At 33.6% G+C, this 17,791-nt stretch overlaps 1 protein-coding gene across 4 annotated transcripts in view; it reads right to left on the bottom strand.

The window, feature by feature from the left end:
- Positions 1-17,791, bottom strand: part of EPHA3 (EPH receptor A3) — a 374,514-nt gene that overhangs the window by 61,588 nt on the left and 295,135 nt on the right. For all 4 annotated transcript variants that reach the window (NM_005233.6, NM_001410778.1, XM_005264715.4 and 1 more), the window contains exons 8-11: positions 13,176-13,278; positions 12,416-12,480; positions 7,281-7,406; positions 1,157-1,342 (exon numbers count right to left, since the gene is read on the bottom strand). In NM_005233.6, the coding sequence (NP_005224.2) occupies positions 1,157-1,342; positions 7,281-7,406; positions 12,416-12,480; positions 13,176-13,278 (480 nt within the window). The remainder of the gene's footprint in view (positions 1-1,156; positions 1,343-7,280; positions 7,407-12,415; positions 12,481-13,175; positions 13,279-17,791) is intronic.

The raw sequence follows: 17,791 nt of genomic DNA, 5'->3' as shown, positions 1-17,791 counted from the left end.
GGCCTGGTTTTGTAGAGTACATAGGCAAACAAATAAAAAGCCTTATAAGAATTAATATGGACTTACAATGTATGTTGAACTATTCCACATTGTTAAATTCTTAATTCCACTTTTTATATATGAAAACTCAAAAGGAAATCAAAGTCTATTTCAATTAAACCATGCTCTCATGAGGAAGGAAATGCCTTTTTAGTCATGCTAAAGTGAGAATAAGTATTAGTGCCATTTGGAAAATGCTCTATAAAATGGTAAAGAGAAATATAATTATGAAAAATATGTCTGTTGGTAACGATAGAGTATGTAAATGTGGTGCCAATGAATTATCCCCTAAAGGATGCCAAATTCCCTGCCATATGTTGTCTTTCACTCTAAAAAGTTTGCTGCCAATTTCACTTATTCTTCATCCTGAGCTCCAAAATCTTGAGGAAAAATGTCCCAGAGTATTCTCAAGAGACTTATATAGGGATTGGAGCCAAAAATCACAGATCCGCCTCACAGGATCCCTTTTGAGACCTGCTGGAGAAACCATCATGGAAATAAGTTCACATCTCTATCATGGGCTGTGAGCCAGAGCTTCCACAGAGCAGTAAGAATCCACCTGGGTTTCTAGATCAGAACTATTTAAAATCCACAGAGAACCAAGAAACGGCCTTGGGTCTATTGTGATTCCAATCTGTACAGCTCAGAAGCATTTCCTAGACTCCCAAAATTTTCCTAAAGGCAGGGATGCAGGGGGTGGGAGGAGGTTAAAGATTTGTAACTTTTAAATAAAACTGATGAACAATAAAAGAAAAGGCAGCTAGCTGGGAGTTCCTGTCAAGCTTGAGTCATTGTTTTTCTTTGCTACTTACATAGCCGAGAATTCCCCACAATTCTTCTCTTAACTGTCTGCTAATCAGCGTACCTTTAAATGGTCTAATATGTGGCTTCTAGTATTTTTTTAAAATTTTTTGAGGTCTAAAACAGTACTGTCAATAGAATATTATTTAAAGGTCTGCTCTACTGTCAAAGAAAGGCATGCTATTCCTAAACTTTTCTTTTTGGTAAAACTGAGATACTTATGAAAAAAAGCCAAAATTCTTAAATGGTTGGGGTTGGGTTTAAACAACCTTTGCTCAACATACGGAAACACAGGTCTTATGACTACTTTACTTACTTTTGGTAACAACTCCTTCCAGTCGAATGATATTGGGGTGGTCAAACTGTCCCATAATGCTTGCTTCTCCCAGGAAGTCTCTCCTCTGCTTTTCTGTGTAGCCAACTTTCAGGGTCTTAATGGCCACTGAAATCTCTTTTTTTGAAGGAAGTTTTAAGCGACCACTGCACACCTCTCCAAATTCACCTGTTATAAAGCAGAACAGCAACAAAATGTAAGGAATTCTATAATAAAAATTCATCAGTAGAGAGCAACTGTTTTATTTCAAAATTTCCATTTAAAATATTTGTGCCTTTGACCTGCAAGATGTACACTCTAGTACTCCAAATTATTTTGAAAGATAATCATATGAAACTGCCTAGAAAACCTCAGGATAGTCACCCCCTGTTGGAAAATGAACCTTGTGAAAATTCCATATACTTTAAAGTACGACACTATAAATAATGTAATGTAAAAGGAGAGATAAGTTGAAAGCTGCATATGTTAGATTTTTTACCCCTTGTTGTCATAGCTACCATTACCTCAGAGAAATTAACAGGACAGCACCAACAGTGATTAAATGTGAGCATTGGATTAAATTTCAGATATTTTAACAATTCTGTTTTTACCGAGGGCCAATATGGCTATATATTCAGACTCTAAAAATGAGAAGGAAAGCATCTGCTATCAATTTATTTTATTGGAGTATTGGTGTGTTGCTTTACTGACATACCAGCTATAAAAGTCTCTGGGCTTCTGGAGGACAACAACAATATAACAGTATCAAATAAAAACAACATGCCTTATCTAAATACTGTAGAAATATTTTAGATTCATCTTCTTCAATTTAAAAAAAAAAGTCTTCAATGTGCAATTAATCCAGAATTTGTCCCATATAGAGTGTTACTGACTTTTAAATATTATAGTCCAGTTGATATAAAACTGCCTAGAACTAGTATGGACACTACCTTCAAAATACATTTTTACTGAGAGATTTACTAATCATCAATTCATTACATTTGGAGCTCACTTAGAGCAGATACCCTTTACATTTATTTATCTGTACCCATGCTGCCATGATGATTGCCACATGGGAGTTCTATAGAATGTCCTTTGTTCACAGAAGAACTTCTAACATAGTGTGGATTATCAGATATGTTTTGCATCACATTAAAAATAGTTTTTAATGTCAAATGAGCTTTTCTTGAAATATTTTAGAATTAATTATATGATTAATTTTTGGCTCTTGATGGAGTGGAATCATAATCTTGGTCCAATTTTCTCTCTGTGAATTTTCTATGAGCTTCATGCCCTACGTGTCAGTCAGATTGAAGTGATATGATTCTTCTCTATTTTTGTTTTCAAGCAAGTGGTTTGAACCACAAAAGTAGCAGGTTGTCCTATTGATTTGCCAGCTACATTACTACAAATGGTGTCTCTCTCCCTGGGAAGCTTTAACCTTCCCCAGGCTTGACTCATCCCCAGAAATCCACTCTTGCCCTGTTTTCAAAGCAATGACTTATGCTTTAATTTGGCAAAGTCACTTAAAATCCAAAAGCAGATATTCATGCATTTATTTAATAAATATTCATAATAGCAACTGTATTGCATACAGTATAAAACACACAGAGATAGATATAATGGTAAACAAGACAGGACTAGTTTATTCCCTTTGAGGAAGTGTAGAGAAGATAATGATATCTACAGCTATAGTGTTCCTTAGGATACAGAAAGAATCAGGGAGTAGAACTTGAGAAAGTTCATTGATCTTGCTAATTCGAAGGAAGAATATGCCATTTAGATATGAGAATATTAGGAGAAAGAGAAGTTATGGTGTGATAAAATTATTCTCAGAATTGTAAACAAGAGTAAGAGTTTCTTTCCTCATATAGGGTTATCCGAACATTATCAGAGCGCTCCCATTTACTTTGTTTCACTTTGTGTAAACACTAAGCTTGGGAAAACCAGAAAGTTCTGCCATTATCATACATCAACATGGTATAATAGAGCATGTTTTAAATGTAGATGTCATCATCACATATTCTAAGTGACATGTCACTTGTCAGTTTACAGGAGTGATAGTACAGAACTCTGGTTAAGAGCATGGATCCTGCAGCCGAATTGCTTCGGGTCCAATTCTGACTCTGCCACATATTAGCTGTGTGATTTTAAGTAACTTAACCTCTCTGTACCTATCTTTTCCTATCTCTATGGGGGACACTTATTGTATCTACCTCATAAAGCTGTTGTGGGATTAAAGGAACTAATGTATGTTAAGTACTTGAAACAGTGCCAGACACACAGTAGGTGACATCTAAGTGTTGGTCACTATTTATCTCTCTGAGTTCAGACCCACCTAAAGGATAAATTGCCTAACTACCCTTTAAGAGTTTCTGTTTAAATCAAACTGACAAATGAATATGAAAGTGCTTTATAAAATGCCAAATTCTATGTTAATGTAAGAGATGGTTATGGTAATGATGGCGATAACAAGGCTCATGTCTTACTGGACATATATTTGTAAAGGATAGCATACTAGAGATATGAAAAGTAGGAGTTCAAATTTTAAATGAGCCAATTAAGAGTGTTCTTTGTTGTAAGTGGGACACCTGGACACATAAACATGTACATGTATATATTTACCTTCGAAATTCATGAAAATTGTGTTTCAGCAATGCTAGTTTTTAAAATTCCCCACATTTAGTAATGTGATTATTTCATCAGATAAACACTAGAAATAGCCGCCAATATATTATAAAAGACATAGAAATGCTTAATATTAATTCAATTATATTTTTAATAATTTAAAATAACTGCATTGGGATAGCAATTATGGTTATTACAACTCTGAAAATATACTAAAAATCACTGAATTGTATACTTAAATAGCTGAACTTTATGGTTGGTAAATTGTATCTCAATAAAGCTGCTAAAAATAGAAAAAGATTAAAAATAAAAAATAAAAGAACTGTATTGTAAAAGTTAACAAAGACTGGGCAAATGCAATTTGCAATAGTTTCATCTGGCCAAGTTTTATATTGTCTTATTCAATTAACTTTGCACCCATATGAAACAAAAATTCAGATCTTGTCATTTCTAGATAAAAGCATGGCTGCCAGATCTTGATTTTTTAATTCTAATAAGTGCGGCAATTTTATTTGCTCTTTGAAATAGGTATATTTATAAGAATGGGGACTGTATTCTGATTAAAATGCACAATGTAAAAGCTGCTCAAAATAAAATTTCTTATGCTAATTTCATTTAAACAATTAAAAAAAGCCGACATTTAAATAGAATGACTCCCTCCAACACTAGCTTTAAAGCCTACCCTCCTTCTACTGTTTTCATAAAGTAAGCATAATAAAAACACATATTGAACAATGCTTCTGTGTCAGCTAAGTCCCCTGCACAACTTATCTTGTTTAATCCTCAAAAAAAAATACTATGAAGAAGACACTACTATGATCTCCAGTGTCCAGCATGGGCTTTAAATTTGGAAAGTATAAGATTCAAATTTTGGTTTTTCATTTGATCCAAACAAGTCTATTCAAATTCTCAGCTTTTGTTTATTCACGTGCTGAAATGGAGATAATAATACCTATCTAAAAAGGATAATAAAATTAAATATCATGGGAATGCACAGGATAAATTAAGGACTTACTAAGTATTTACTTTCTTCAGAAATTTTTAGTATTCAATCGTTGAAAGAATGGTTGGATTGAGGAGTAAAATTAGGAATTGTAGTCATGAATTCCTCACTTCTAGTAATCTACTACTGTGGGAAGCTAATTCATATGTCTTAATTTTATCATTTATAGTATAAGTATAATTCTTTCTATAGTCCAATGTATACAAGAGAGTTTCCATAACATCAATTCATTTATGTAAAATTTCTGACAGAAATTTAAGAGAATTAGCTTATATATATATATATATATATATATTCTTTCTGTAAATTTAATTGACTCTGAAAGTTATGTAGTTGGCTGAAAGGTTTGCCTTTCTAACAATGGAAGCCAGTTGGTAATCAATTTAGAATAATTATTAAATTTTTATAAATAACATATTTTTTTTAAGATTAAGAATGTAGGAAGTAGGTAAATGTATATACCAACCAAGGTTGCCATTTGTTCATTGTTATAAAAGCTATTTTAGAAATGAGTAACATACAGGTTTATTTATTATTACACTATTTAATTTATTTGTGTACATATTTTACATTTTACAAAACAAAATGTTTAACAAATTGTTAGCTTTTAGGAATAATAATTTCATTTTCTAACTTGGTAAATACAAACCCTCTGAAAGGTCATCAAGGCAGTCTAGAATTGGGTGTGTATATTGTATTGAATTATTTCAGGAAAAGTATAACTAACCTTGAAGGTATACCTATTTGCAAATAAGTACAGTTTTGTTGTTCTTAACATGGCAAATGTGAATATTGGCTGCAAAACCCTGAACATGGGCATATATCTAATCATTAACATATATACTTGAAGACAGAAATAGGAAGGAGGCTCTATTCTAATCTTTAATGAGCATCAGGGATTAAGTGATTCAGTATAAATAGACCTCCCCTTATCTCATTTATCAGCTGCTATTTTCAGTGGTGTGCTTTTTCCCAAATCACTATGTTCTGTATATCTGAGTCTGTCAATAATAACTATATAAAGATATTTTATCAGTGGAGAGGTACCTAAATTTCAACATCATAATAATGTCTGCCTGGCTTTTGGACAGTGGCTTAGCATAAGTAACCTTTTCCTCCTCTCAACATATTCTCCAGTTGAGTGTTCAAAGTCCTCGTGCTGCATTTGCTACCGCAGGCTCCGTGCTGGAGAAAAGTGCACTCTTGTGAGGAAACATTAAAACCAGCCAGACTAAACCCTTCTGCATCATGGAGCTGTTCAGAAGTCAGGACTGAAGAAATGAAACAGAGTAAACAATATATATCTGTTTTGGCACTGGATCAGCACAGATGTACAGCGAATATGTTTACTCTCAAGTCTTAGATTGTAAAAAAGAAGTTACTACTCCATTTTCTTTCTATGAACACAAGTTTCATATTTTAATATTACCTGCACATGTAAATTTTAGGATAAGAAATTAAGATAATTAGAAGAGAAGCTCTAGTAAATTAACATTATATTTACAAGATTGTCCTGTTCGCATACTAACTACTGCTTGATTTTTCAGTACTACTTTGGTGTATAGAAAAAGAAACAAAGCATTACATGTACATTTTTGTAAAGACACATCACTCATAAATATGTAAATACGGTACTTGCAGAAAATGTGATCTGATGTTACACAGAGAATTCCTGTATCAACATAACTAGTTTATGTTTGCTTTGGGGAGTGACATTGAAGGATTAGATGATGGTACAAAATTTTTTATTGTTGAGCATGGTTCATTTTTACTTTTGAATAGTAGTTTTACTTCCATGCATACTGCACATATCATGTGTTTATGTGTAAATATATAAAATACTGTTATTTTACAAATATATGAAATTTTTCTTATAAATATGCAACTGTTATTAACCACTTAATAGGTGATTGTTAACAAATTTATCATTGTTTAAATTAATAATTAGAACAAAGGTATATTTATTAAAAAAAGCTTTAACACATAAGACTATTCAAAGTCAAGCAAGCATTAAAATGGAGCACCTTATATTATTTAAAATATCCACCCAAGATAGTTGTGATAAAATTTATGTAAGATGAGTCATGATATTACTTTGTGTTGTTTGTTCTTTTAATTCCAAACATGATTCTAAAATTGAAAATGAAAACTTCAAATTACCTGGGTTGTCTAAATTGAAATAGACTTTTATCCAGTTATCCTTATTTAGCCAAATAGGTTTTGTGACACACGATCAGCACAGCTATGGGAAGATTGAGTTGTTGCTGCTGTCACATCAGAAATTTAATAAATCAAAAGCAGCCATGGTCTGTGAGCCGGTAAGTCTGGCACCTTTGAACTCATTACATTCCATTAAATATTGCACTTATTTATTACTTGCCTTTGATCATGAAATCAGAAAATTCCCATTTCTTTAGCAATATACTTAGGTTTCAGAGACTGAGCAATCGTGATTCACATACAGTACTAAGTTGGCAGTAGGGTCATTGTGGTTACCTGCTCCAACAACTTTATCAATGGATATGTTGGTGGCATCCAATTCCTTGGCAAACTCATGAACAGCTTGGGTAGGGTCTTCATATGTATGTGGGTCAACATAAGTCCTGAGACCTGGAAGTTTTACTGTTTGAGGAAAGAAAGAAAGGCGCAATTGTAGCTAGATTTGTACAAACAATTATAGATCAAATTTTATGGCATTATTGGTTTAAAAAAATCCCTACCCCATAAGGTGCACAACCTTCAGTTTATTCTGTAGTATCACAGAAACTGGCAGTGACATTGGACTGTGTTGAAAAATTTAAGAAAACATGTTCTCTATGATGAATTATATAAAGGAACCACAATGAGGAGCTTTCTTTGCAAAAACATCAGAAGGAAAATGCATACTCAAAAAAGGGGATCTTAAGAAGAAAGATAATTCAGAACTGATTAGACCTAGTCATTACTACCAGGAGCAACAGTGAGTGAACACCATTATGCTATTGCATATTTATGATTACACAAATGTTATAATAACCAGATATGTATTACAATGCAAGATTGGAAAATAATTCAATACAATTATAAGGTGAGATAATGGCTGCAATTATAGATAAATTAAATGATATATAATGGCATACCTTCTGACACTGTACTGCTTATATTAACATTCACAATCAAAATGTCCCACTGTAATTACAAATCTACTTTAAGCTGTTAGTATGTGTATACATGTATGTATTATATATTATATTGGTGTGTATATATAATACATACATGTATACACACCAATATAGTATCAGTTAAATATAATCATATTGTATAGCTTTATAACATAATTAGAAGTAAAATAAATATTGTCTATGAGTTGAATAATGGCGCTAAGGAGCTAAGTTCCAAACGTAAGTCATATATGTAATTTATTAAATAAAAATCTCCTTCATATTATATTTATTCATTAAATTATTCTGAAGGTAAAAATGTTCATATCCTGTAGTTAAAATATTACAGACAACTGATACAGGATAATCATTTTAATTTGATTTAATATTAATAAGATTCCTATAATTTGGAAAAATAACAGTGGAGACAATTTGCAATTTTCAATAAATTAACTTTCTCTAAACAAAAACCCTGAGTTTTAAAAAAGTGATTCTAAGATCTACTAAACTATATAAATATGATCTAAAATTAAAGGAAATTGCAATGTAACTCCTATGGTATATCTGCTAAGACTACTGATTTTGCTTTTAATTTTGATAACATTCATAGCACAGAATATGGATACTTAATAGTGTGTTTTAGCACAGAATATGGATACTTAATAGTGAAATATATTTTCATTCATTACATTAAATTATAACAAATGAAATCAGATATTACTGTTTCCAATATTACTTCATAATGGGAGAATTATGGGAAAGTTGCAATTGAACACCCTGCGTGAACCAATCGTTTCTTTGAGTTAGTTTTGTAGTTTGTATTAAATAGTTGTGGAGACTGCAGATGCCCGCAGTTTTTCTGGGAAGCCTCAGTACAATGAACATTAGGCCAACAAGTCTAGGATTTCACAGTATGTGTTAACAAATGATCAATTCTTTGAACTACAAGACAACTTCATGAAACCCATGGTTATAATGCATTACGATTTATGTTCTTGTGAAGCTTTCATAGAGATTTTGAGTAAAAAAACGTAAGTGTGAGAATAAACTGTTGTAAAAGAAATGGTGGCTGAGAGAGAGGTTGGGTAAAAACTCTATTTTCCTCAGCTATTATTTGCATGACTTTGACACAGCATAATAGAAAGCAGGGATGGTGGTGAGAGGGCAAATAGGGAATGCAGAAGAAAAGCTAACACGACTCCTACTTCTGCCTGGTGCTGATACAGCTACAACAAAAGAGCAGCTGCTATCCAGCTTGAGGCGAGGTGTGGATAATTTGAAAGGACACCACTATCTAGAAGTCAATATCCACAGAAATGGGGAAATACAAGTTCTGTCCCTTGCTTTGGACAAACTCTGAGTGGAGTAGCTGTTGAAGTGAGAACTTCACTTTTAGAGTTTTTCATCTTGAATATCTTGGCAAAAAAGACAAGCTAGGGCTCTGAGAAAAAAAAAAAGCTATACTATTCAAATGCCTAGCATGAGAAACTGTTGCATAGTTCTCACTCAATGTATTGATAGAGCTCATTGCCCTAATGAGCGTTTTTATTGTTAAGAACATTTATTTACAATTATTAATATAATTGATGTTTCCTAATGGTAGAATTTAGACTTAGAAATGTCCATTACTTTTGAGCTCACAGATCAGCTTATATGCTTCTTCCATATAAGCATGAATCCTTCCTATAAATACAGATGGGAGAGTCACCCTTTAATACAGTAATCTGTTGTGCTTTATTGTTACATTAAAATAACTTCTAACATTACCAGTACTAAAACCCTTTACCTTTAAAAGAAGAAACTTCTTTAAGATTAAGGAAAAGCTATCATACTTTTCTAGATGTGGAGTAAGAAAAATTGTAAAAGTAAGTAACCATTACTAAAATATGTTAGGAAATAAAATCTTGTTGGAGTCTTTTCATTTAGTCAATTTAGTTACATTTTAAGGATGAAAACTCATATCAGATCAACCCTATAATGTGTGATCTTCCAGTTTTTATTTGCCTTTACTTAGTAACAGTAAGGTAAAGAAATCTAGCAATCTTTTTCAAGGAAATAAAATGATACTTTAAGCATAAGGTAAAATGGAACTGTTTTGTACATAATTATAACTCCTTTACTTTGCTGAAGTTAAGGAAATTAACGTGGGGGAGATTTCCTGCCATCAGAATTTACAAAGATTATAAAATGAGTTGTTAGGAACAATGTCTCACATATTTTAAATAAGCATTGGCCTTAAACAGACTTGAAATTGTGTGATTTAGATTTACCCTTAAGTACCAGTCAGCTTGTAGAGAATATATGTATGATGGATACCTATATGCAATACTACTATTACTAAATAATTTGAAAATTAAATAACCATTCCCAAATAAAATGAATCCTATTAATTTCTATTAATTAAAATAAGGTGAATTTCTTTTCCATCCATAAGACATTTGGGGGAAAAAAACAAACATAAACATATACACCCCCAAGTAAAATGGTCTGTTCGCTGTAGAAGCACTGGCTGCTGATCTTTAACTGCTGACCCCAGAGATTCCAGGAATCAGGTGATTCAGGCTGCGAGGCACATAATCCCTTCACACCAATAATTAAGGGCAACATACAGAGTAACTGGGCTCTGTCATGAAAACCAGGTAATAAACACATGCACACGTGTTAAGCTGCACTACTTTACAGCTCATTCTGTGCAAACACAATAATTTACATTTCCATTTTACCAGCATGAGTTGCCCTAAGGATAGCAAAGAAGTAAAAAGGCCCAGCCAGAAAGGGCAAGGGGACAGGATCTTAGGAGGTGAAACACATTTCTTTCCTTTTGAAGCAATATTATAGGATTTGTAACAAGGCTGTAGGGAACAGTTCGTAGCTAGAGCTTTTTAAAGTAATACCAAATAAAAGGTCTGAAATAAACCAGCTGTAGTATTAAGATGCAGAAAGTTTATGACATGCATATAAGTTACTTTATGCCTTTGCAGCCAGGATGAAATGCATTTCTCTTTTGTTTGTCATAAGGATATTGTGCATTTGAAAAAAATTAAAGTTTCAACAAAAATCCACCATAAAAACAATAGCAAAACAGACTGGGACGATAGAGGAACCTGTTTAATAATTGGCACACAGAAATTTACCAAAGCTCAAAATTCGTAAGATGTAGGCTTCCCATAAAAAAAAAATCAAATCAGCATGGTCTTGCTCTAAAGATGATATTTACAATTGTCCAAGTCAAATTGAGGGTGACTTAATCCACAAGAATGCCACTGCTCTAATTTATGCATAAAAATTGTAACACTAGTGTTTTGTGGGCCCATTGAGAAAAAGAAAGACAAGGATCCTGTAACTTGTTCAGGCATTCTTTTTAGACTTTTGAGTTGGTCACCTAATTAATCTGGACTGATGTGATGTTGATTTTAGGAATGTAGTACTTTGGCTTTTTTGTGTGAATTATTTTATAGACGCTGCAATTGGATGAACAAAATAATGCTTCTTCAAACTCCTATACTGCTTTCTTCTCATATCAATTTATATTTTGAAAGGCATTATTTTCAAGCTACTGTATGCTTCCTGCAGGTTAGCAACAGGTAGTCAAGTTTTTTACTTGAGTTACAACTAAAGCTATCATTTTTAGATGATAATCCAACGGCTGATACAAAGTATCATGTCAATTTGCAAATAATTTTAGAAGGCAATAGTGAATACTAAAAAAATTAATGCTTACAAGACTACATTAGTTATATTGAGATTATTTTGGAGCACATAAGCATGAGTACAGTCTTTGTACTAATTTCCATGAGAACATGCTATTTAAGCTACTGATTAGTAATTGCCACACTAAGCTGAGCCATAGTTTGGAACGCAAAACACCTGGAATGATTCGTTTCACCAGAAAAAGAAAAAAAGTCTTTTTGTTAGTTGTAAACACTTTGTTTCTGAAATGTGTATTTAAAAAAAATTAAAAGGGTAAATTAAAATGTGGAGAGAAAGTTCTGGCTTTACTACTAGTTGGATATCATGTAACTGCAAAATAAACAGTTTATTTTAAAGGCTCTTTCTAGGTTGGTTGATAAAATGGGATAAGGCACTTCAAATAAACAGAGGTTGTTTATATTTACTTGGCAGTTAGGAAAGAGAAAAGTCTCCTATTTAGAGTTTAGCAAAGGACTAGTAATAAGGAAATTGAAGATACGCTTTGCATTTCAGCCATGCAGAGCAGACTAGTTTCTACTACCTAGCATGTGCGTTATTTGAATGTAAACCACAGATTACCCTTTATTTTAGCTTAAGTATGCTGAAATGTACACATGTAAAAATTATTTAATGCAGAACCATGAATTTCCCTCTTTTTCTAAAATAAATTTAATGTACTCAGTTTTTCCATAAAACTACTTTTGAAGTCTCTTTGTCAGGAGGAAGTTAACCAATTGTAAATCAATAACTGCTAAAGCTAAAACGGTGAAGCAAAACAAAAAGCCAAGTTTAGAAACTTACAATGCCCATTGCCAAAATGAAGTCTTTTTTCATCTGCCCCATGTTTTGACTTATAGCCACAGAACCTGGAGGTAAATCAAGGAAAGCGAACACATAAGAGGAATATATTTAAAATAGTTACCTATGCTCAGAATGTGCAAAGCATAAAAATAAAACATTTTCCTCAAACAATTAAATGCTTTAGTGAAAGTTTAATAACTTCATATTTTCAAAATCCTCTGAAGAAAGCCCCTCTCTCTGGGAACCCTGGAAAGCTGCCTAATGAGGAGATACACAGAGTTGCTTCCCACTGTGCAGACCCTCCAGTTCAGTTTTTATAATGGCTTTAGAATGTGTTTATAGTATTTTTTAACAACTTCTGTTAGAAGGAATGAAGGGTAAAGTCTCTATGGGTAATGATTAGTGCTGTGCAGTGTTACCCCTGTTCTGGGTGAGAAAGTGTCAAGGAAATCTGGGGTTATTTGAAGAGTGAGGAGATAATTAGAGAAAGAAAGTAAAAACTAGGAGTAGTGTCAGAAGAGAGAAGAGGAGGGGTGTATGTTAAAAGAGTGGGGACAGGAATTTAATGTAGAGCAGAAAATCAAAACTAAGGATGGAGAAACAAAGAAAAGGAGGAGAAAGAGAGGACCTAAACTACAAGTGGAGACATTCTTATTTGTTAAAATATTTTATTGAGCACACTCTTCACATTTTAACAGCAATCAGTGGCAGCAAACAAAGCAACAAAGAAAGTGAATAGTGAAACAGACTGTGAACTCACCTCCCAATCAAAACATAGATGACAACAGTGAGGAGAATAATTGCTACTGCCGCTGAAATGGCGATCATGACCACTTGGCTACTTTCACCAGAGATGGAGAAAGCTGTGAGGTTGAAGAGAAAAAATAAGAACAGGTATTATAATCATGACTAACATCTACATGGAACAGTTGATTGATTCATTAATTAATTAATATGTGTTCTACTTTTACCTGAAGTATGGCTTAATGTCTGATACAATGTTGAAAGTATTCTTTACTTAATGTTTAAAAAAATAGACATTTCCCATAATTTTGCTTGAAATTTCTACCTAATTAATATGGGTACATACTTTGTTTCAATGACATCAATCAAACATTATTTAAATGTCTCCTGTCCAAAATATGCTGTACTGGGTTTCTCTGTCCTCAATGGCAAAAAACTCGTTGAATGAACCAGAAGTTATGGGAGGATCTTAGAGAAGAGAGGAAGATTTCTCAGCATACAATTATAAAAAGCTTTCTAATTAAGCTTGTTTTAACTCCAATATCCATATTCATTTGAAAAGTGATATAATACATGGACCTCAACACATACCACCAACAAACTGTCCCTCTATTTCCTACCTTTATAAATGGCCCATTTATTCACCTAGACAAATGGTTGGCAAAAAAGCCCAGGAGCCAAATCTTGCCCGTCCCCTGTTTTTGTACAGCTCACGAGCTTAGAATGGTTTCACATTTCTTTTAACAGTTGTAAAAAGTCAAAAGAATGAGATTTCATGACATGTGAAAATTCTAAATCTAGGAAATTCAAATTTTGCTGTCTATAAATACAATTTTATTGGAATATAGCCACAATCATTCATTAATTTGTATATTGTCTATGACTGATTTTATGCTAGAATGGGCAAGTTGAGTAGCAGCAATAGAGAATGATGTGCACAAAGCCTAAAATATTTATTATCTGGCCTATTACAGAAAAAAGTTTACTGACTCTTGACCCAGACCAATGCTTCTCAAACTTTAATGTTCACAAAAACCACTCAAGAATCTCTGGAAAAGCAGTTTCAGATTCAGTCATTCCGGAGTGGGGAATGAGATTGTATATTTCTTATGAACACACAGGCAGTGCTGATTCTGCTGATTCCAGACCACAACATTTTGAGGAGCAAGAATCTAGACCATAAATATAAAATAACCTTCTCCTCTCCATCTCCTAATCATTCTGCCTCCAGTTAATCACCAAACACTCTTAAATATCCTAGTTTAAGTCTTCATTTATCTTCTGAATTATAATTAGAAATTCCTAATTTGGTCTCTATTTGTATGCTTTCCACACATTTTATCTTTCAGAATATTCCTTCTAAACCATGAATTTGACCATGTCATTCCTATGCATAAAAGTTTTGCATAGGAAAATTTTGGCTCTTTATAACTTTCAGGATAAGATGCAAATTTCATAGCAGAGCGTGTAAAAGCCATTTAGAATCTGTTTCATGTTTAAATCCCCAGCCACATCTCCTACAAACTCCATAAGCATCCTAATCTCTAGATATTTTAAAATACACACAATTCCTGGAACAGCCTCTTTTATGCTCTTATTTGCATATGTTGTTCTTGCGGTAAATGCTGATTAAGTACATGAATACCTCAGGACTCAAAAGAAGAGCAGATTTTAGTTATCTGAATACTATCACCTCCCCAGGAGCCAACATATCATCTTCAGCCTGAACAAATCTAAGTTTGGAAGATTTTCTCTAAAATATGTGGTTTTAGGGTTAGTTAAATAATGCAAGAAAAGAAACGTGACAGATAGGTTGTTAGGAGTTTCCTGTGAGCAGCATCTGAAGAAAAGTGCTCAGAGTGTGGCAGGATGGCACACTCATAATATAAACTGTTGTAAGCCCTTTACTCTTTACTACCAGCAAACTATTGTTTATACCTCTATGGCAGTCACAGGAGTGCTTGCTCAGATGTTCCTGCTGCAGAGAGTACAGTCAGCAGACAGCCTCCAGCTGCAGCACCTTCAGCTACAGCCTTCAAGCACAGGTTATGTACCCCTTAGTGACTTAACAGTACTGGCAAAGGGTTACTGGAGCCTGGCCATCCCTGCCCAATGCAACACTCCTCAAATGGGTGATCTGTGCTCTGAAACTCCCCATCGGCTTGGCCAAAACCCTCAGAGCTGCACTGCTGTCTGGGGCTTCCCCTCCTCAACTCTTTCTTCTTTCCCTCCTTGCCTTTATAAATGACAGACCTACATCTCAGTCTGAGGTTCTGCTTGCCTGGCTCAGCTCCATCTGCCTTTTATCCTTCACAAATATTTCTCCTATAAAGCTCTTATAGTTTCATCTTTGTATCTTCCTCCCAGAGCATCTGGCTGTTACATCCCTATCCATTGGCTACAGATCTGTGAATGATTTGTGAAATAGCTTAATCCAATATTTCAAAAATGCTCCATAAACATATAGTGGTGACTTGAACTCATGCTTTTCACTTTGCATACTGTAATAATTTATAGAAAGCAGCAAGGTTTGAATTCTGTGGTTATTTTGATTAGCCAGCTTATAAAATAAAGCTCAGTGAAACTGGGAAGGGAACTATGATAGGAGAAAAAATAATTATCTATTTCTTTTTCTGTTGAAAACAGAATTAAACTAGGATTTCTCCACAGTTTTTTCTGTCTCTAAAATATATGACTCACAGAGGCTATCTAAAGCACATAACTAAATCAGATCATTTCCATTGCTAAAATTAGCAAATATGTGAATGACTAATAGTGATGAGTTACATAGGTGTCTAATAATTTAATGTAATTGATAGCTATTACATTTCTTAATAATTCAACTTGAATTTGTTTTCTGCTCCCTCTGTTTCTATTCATTTCCATTTTACTCCATCCTACACAGAGTGCTGGCTTTCTCTCTCAAAAGAGTGATTCAGAGTTCATTCTTTTGAGTCAGAACTCCTGGATTTATATTTGTTTGCTGTGTGACATAATTTTGTTGTTTGAGAATTAAATGAGTTAGTACTAGTAAAACACTTACAGTAGTGCCAAGCATATATTAAGTGCTCAATAAATGTTACAATTGTTTATATCATTTCCCTGGTTAAAACTTTGCAAAAGTACTCTATTTCCTACAAAATGATAGATGATGAATGCCTAATTTTTATATAGAAATTTCTCCATTTAATGATTCCATTCTCCCTTTGTCAGGCTTCCTTTATGTTCCCTAGTAATAGGGCCCAAGAAAGTAAAGTTGTACCATTTTTACTCTTCAAAACAACAAATAATGAGGGTGTGAGGCTTTCGGGAGCGCTAATTTAATTATCCCTGGGGTTGTCTTCTTCATAATAATATCCAATGAAATCCTCTAATTTTAAAACTCAACTTTATTCCACAGATTGTTATTCTTGAAATTCTTCAGATGTTCAAATTACGGACTATTTGTTTAAACACAACACACATGCACAGTGAGTACCTACTATATGAGGCTATATGAGGTACTATTTTAAGCACTTTACAAGTAATAACATATTTAATAAACATTAAAATCTCATGAGTTATCACATGATGTTCCCCAATTTCCAGATAGAAAAACTGAGACACGGAGACTTGAAATGACTTGTCAAGTTCACCCTAATAATGCTCAGCTGCTCTAATGTATTTGATCTTAACTTTCACTTTATCCCTGATTTTCTTGTGCACAAAGCACACACCATGGCTTCAGTTTTTCCCCACTGAGGGTTTCCAAACAATTGGACTATCTGCTTTTCCAAACATGCCCTAATGTCTGTACTTCTTGTATTGGTGGAAGCTACCTTCATGCTAGGAAAATCCTTTTACTCTTTTATACTCCATGCTTTCTATGGGTCTTAGCTTAGTATTTTTTTTTTCATGTGCAATAATTGCACGGTTCAAGACTTCAAAACCTGGAGATTCTAGGTTTGTTGCCCCATCTGACTACATATGTAAACTCAGAAAAAAAACACACAAAATCTGTATCTTGGATCATGTATAAAAGGATACAATAGTATCTGAATAACTTATAGAACAGAATCAAATGAAATGTTTATCATACTGCTTTATATACTGTCATGTAGAAACCTGGATTCTGGAATTGATGTATCCCTTGCCAATTGTGTGACTTTGGAAAACTTCCTTAACCTCCCTTTGTCTCAGTTTCCTCAACTGTAAAATGAAGATGATAATAAATATAAAATACCAACATACAAAAATAAGATATTTTAAAGCACTTAGAAAACAATATGTGCTCTGCTCTGCCTCCATCTCTTCCCTATAAAGTTCAGAAAATGTTATCTAAATTCCAGCTCAAAATACATTGTGTTCTACCAAGAAATATGCATACATGTCATGAATGAGACATTCTTATGTAATTACAAAATTAAAACCGGCTGGGCACGGTGGCTCACACCTGTAATCCCAGCACTTTTGAAGGCCAAGGCAGTCGGATTACTTGAGGTCAGGAGTTCAAGACCAGCCTGGCCAACATGGTGAAACCCCGTCTCTACTAAAAATGCCAAAATTAGCTGGGCATTGTGGCACATGCCTGTAATCCCAGCTATAGAATCGCTTGAACCCAGGAGGCGGATTTTGTAGGGAGCTGAGATCTCA

Source organism: Homo sapiens, chromosome 3 (genome assembly GCF_000001405.40).
Source record: "Homo sapiens chromosome 3, GRCh38.p14 Primary Assembly".
In the NCBI taxonomy this organism is placed as follows: Eukaryota; Metazoa; Chordata; class Mammalia; order Primates; family Hominidae; genus Homo; species Homo sapiens.
Note: the sequence above shows the minus strand (reverse complement) of the source record. Positions and strands in the feature narration are given on the sequence as shown.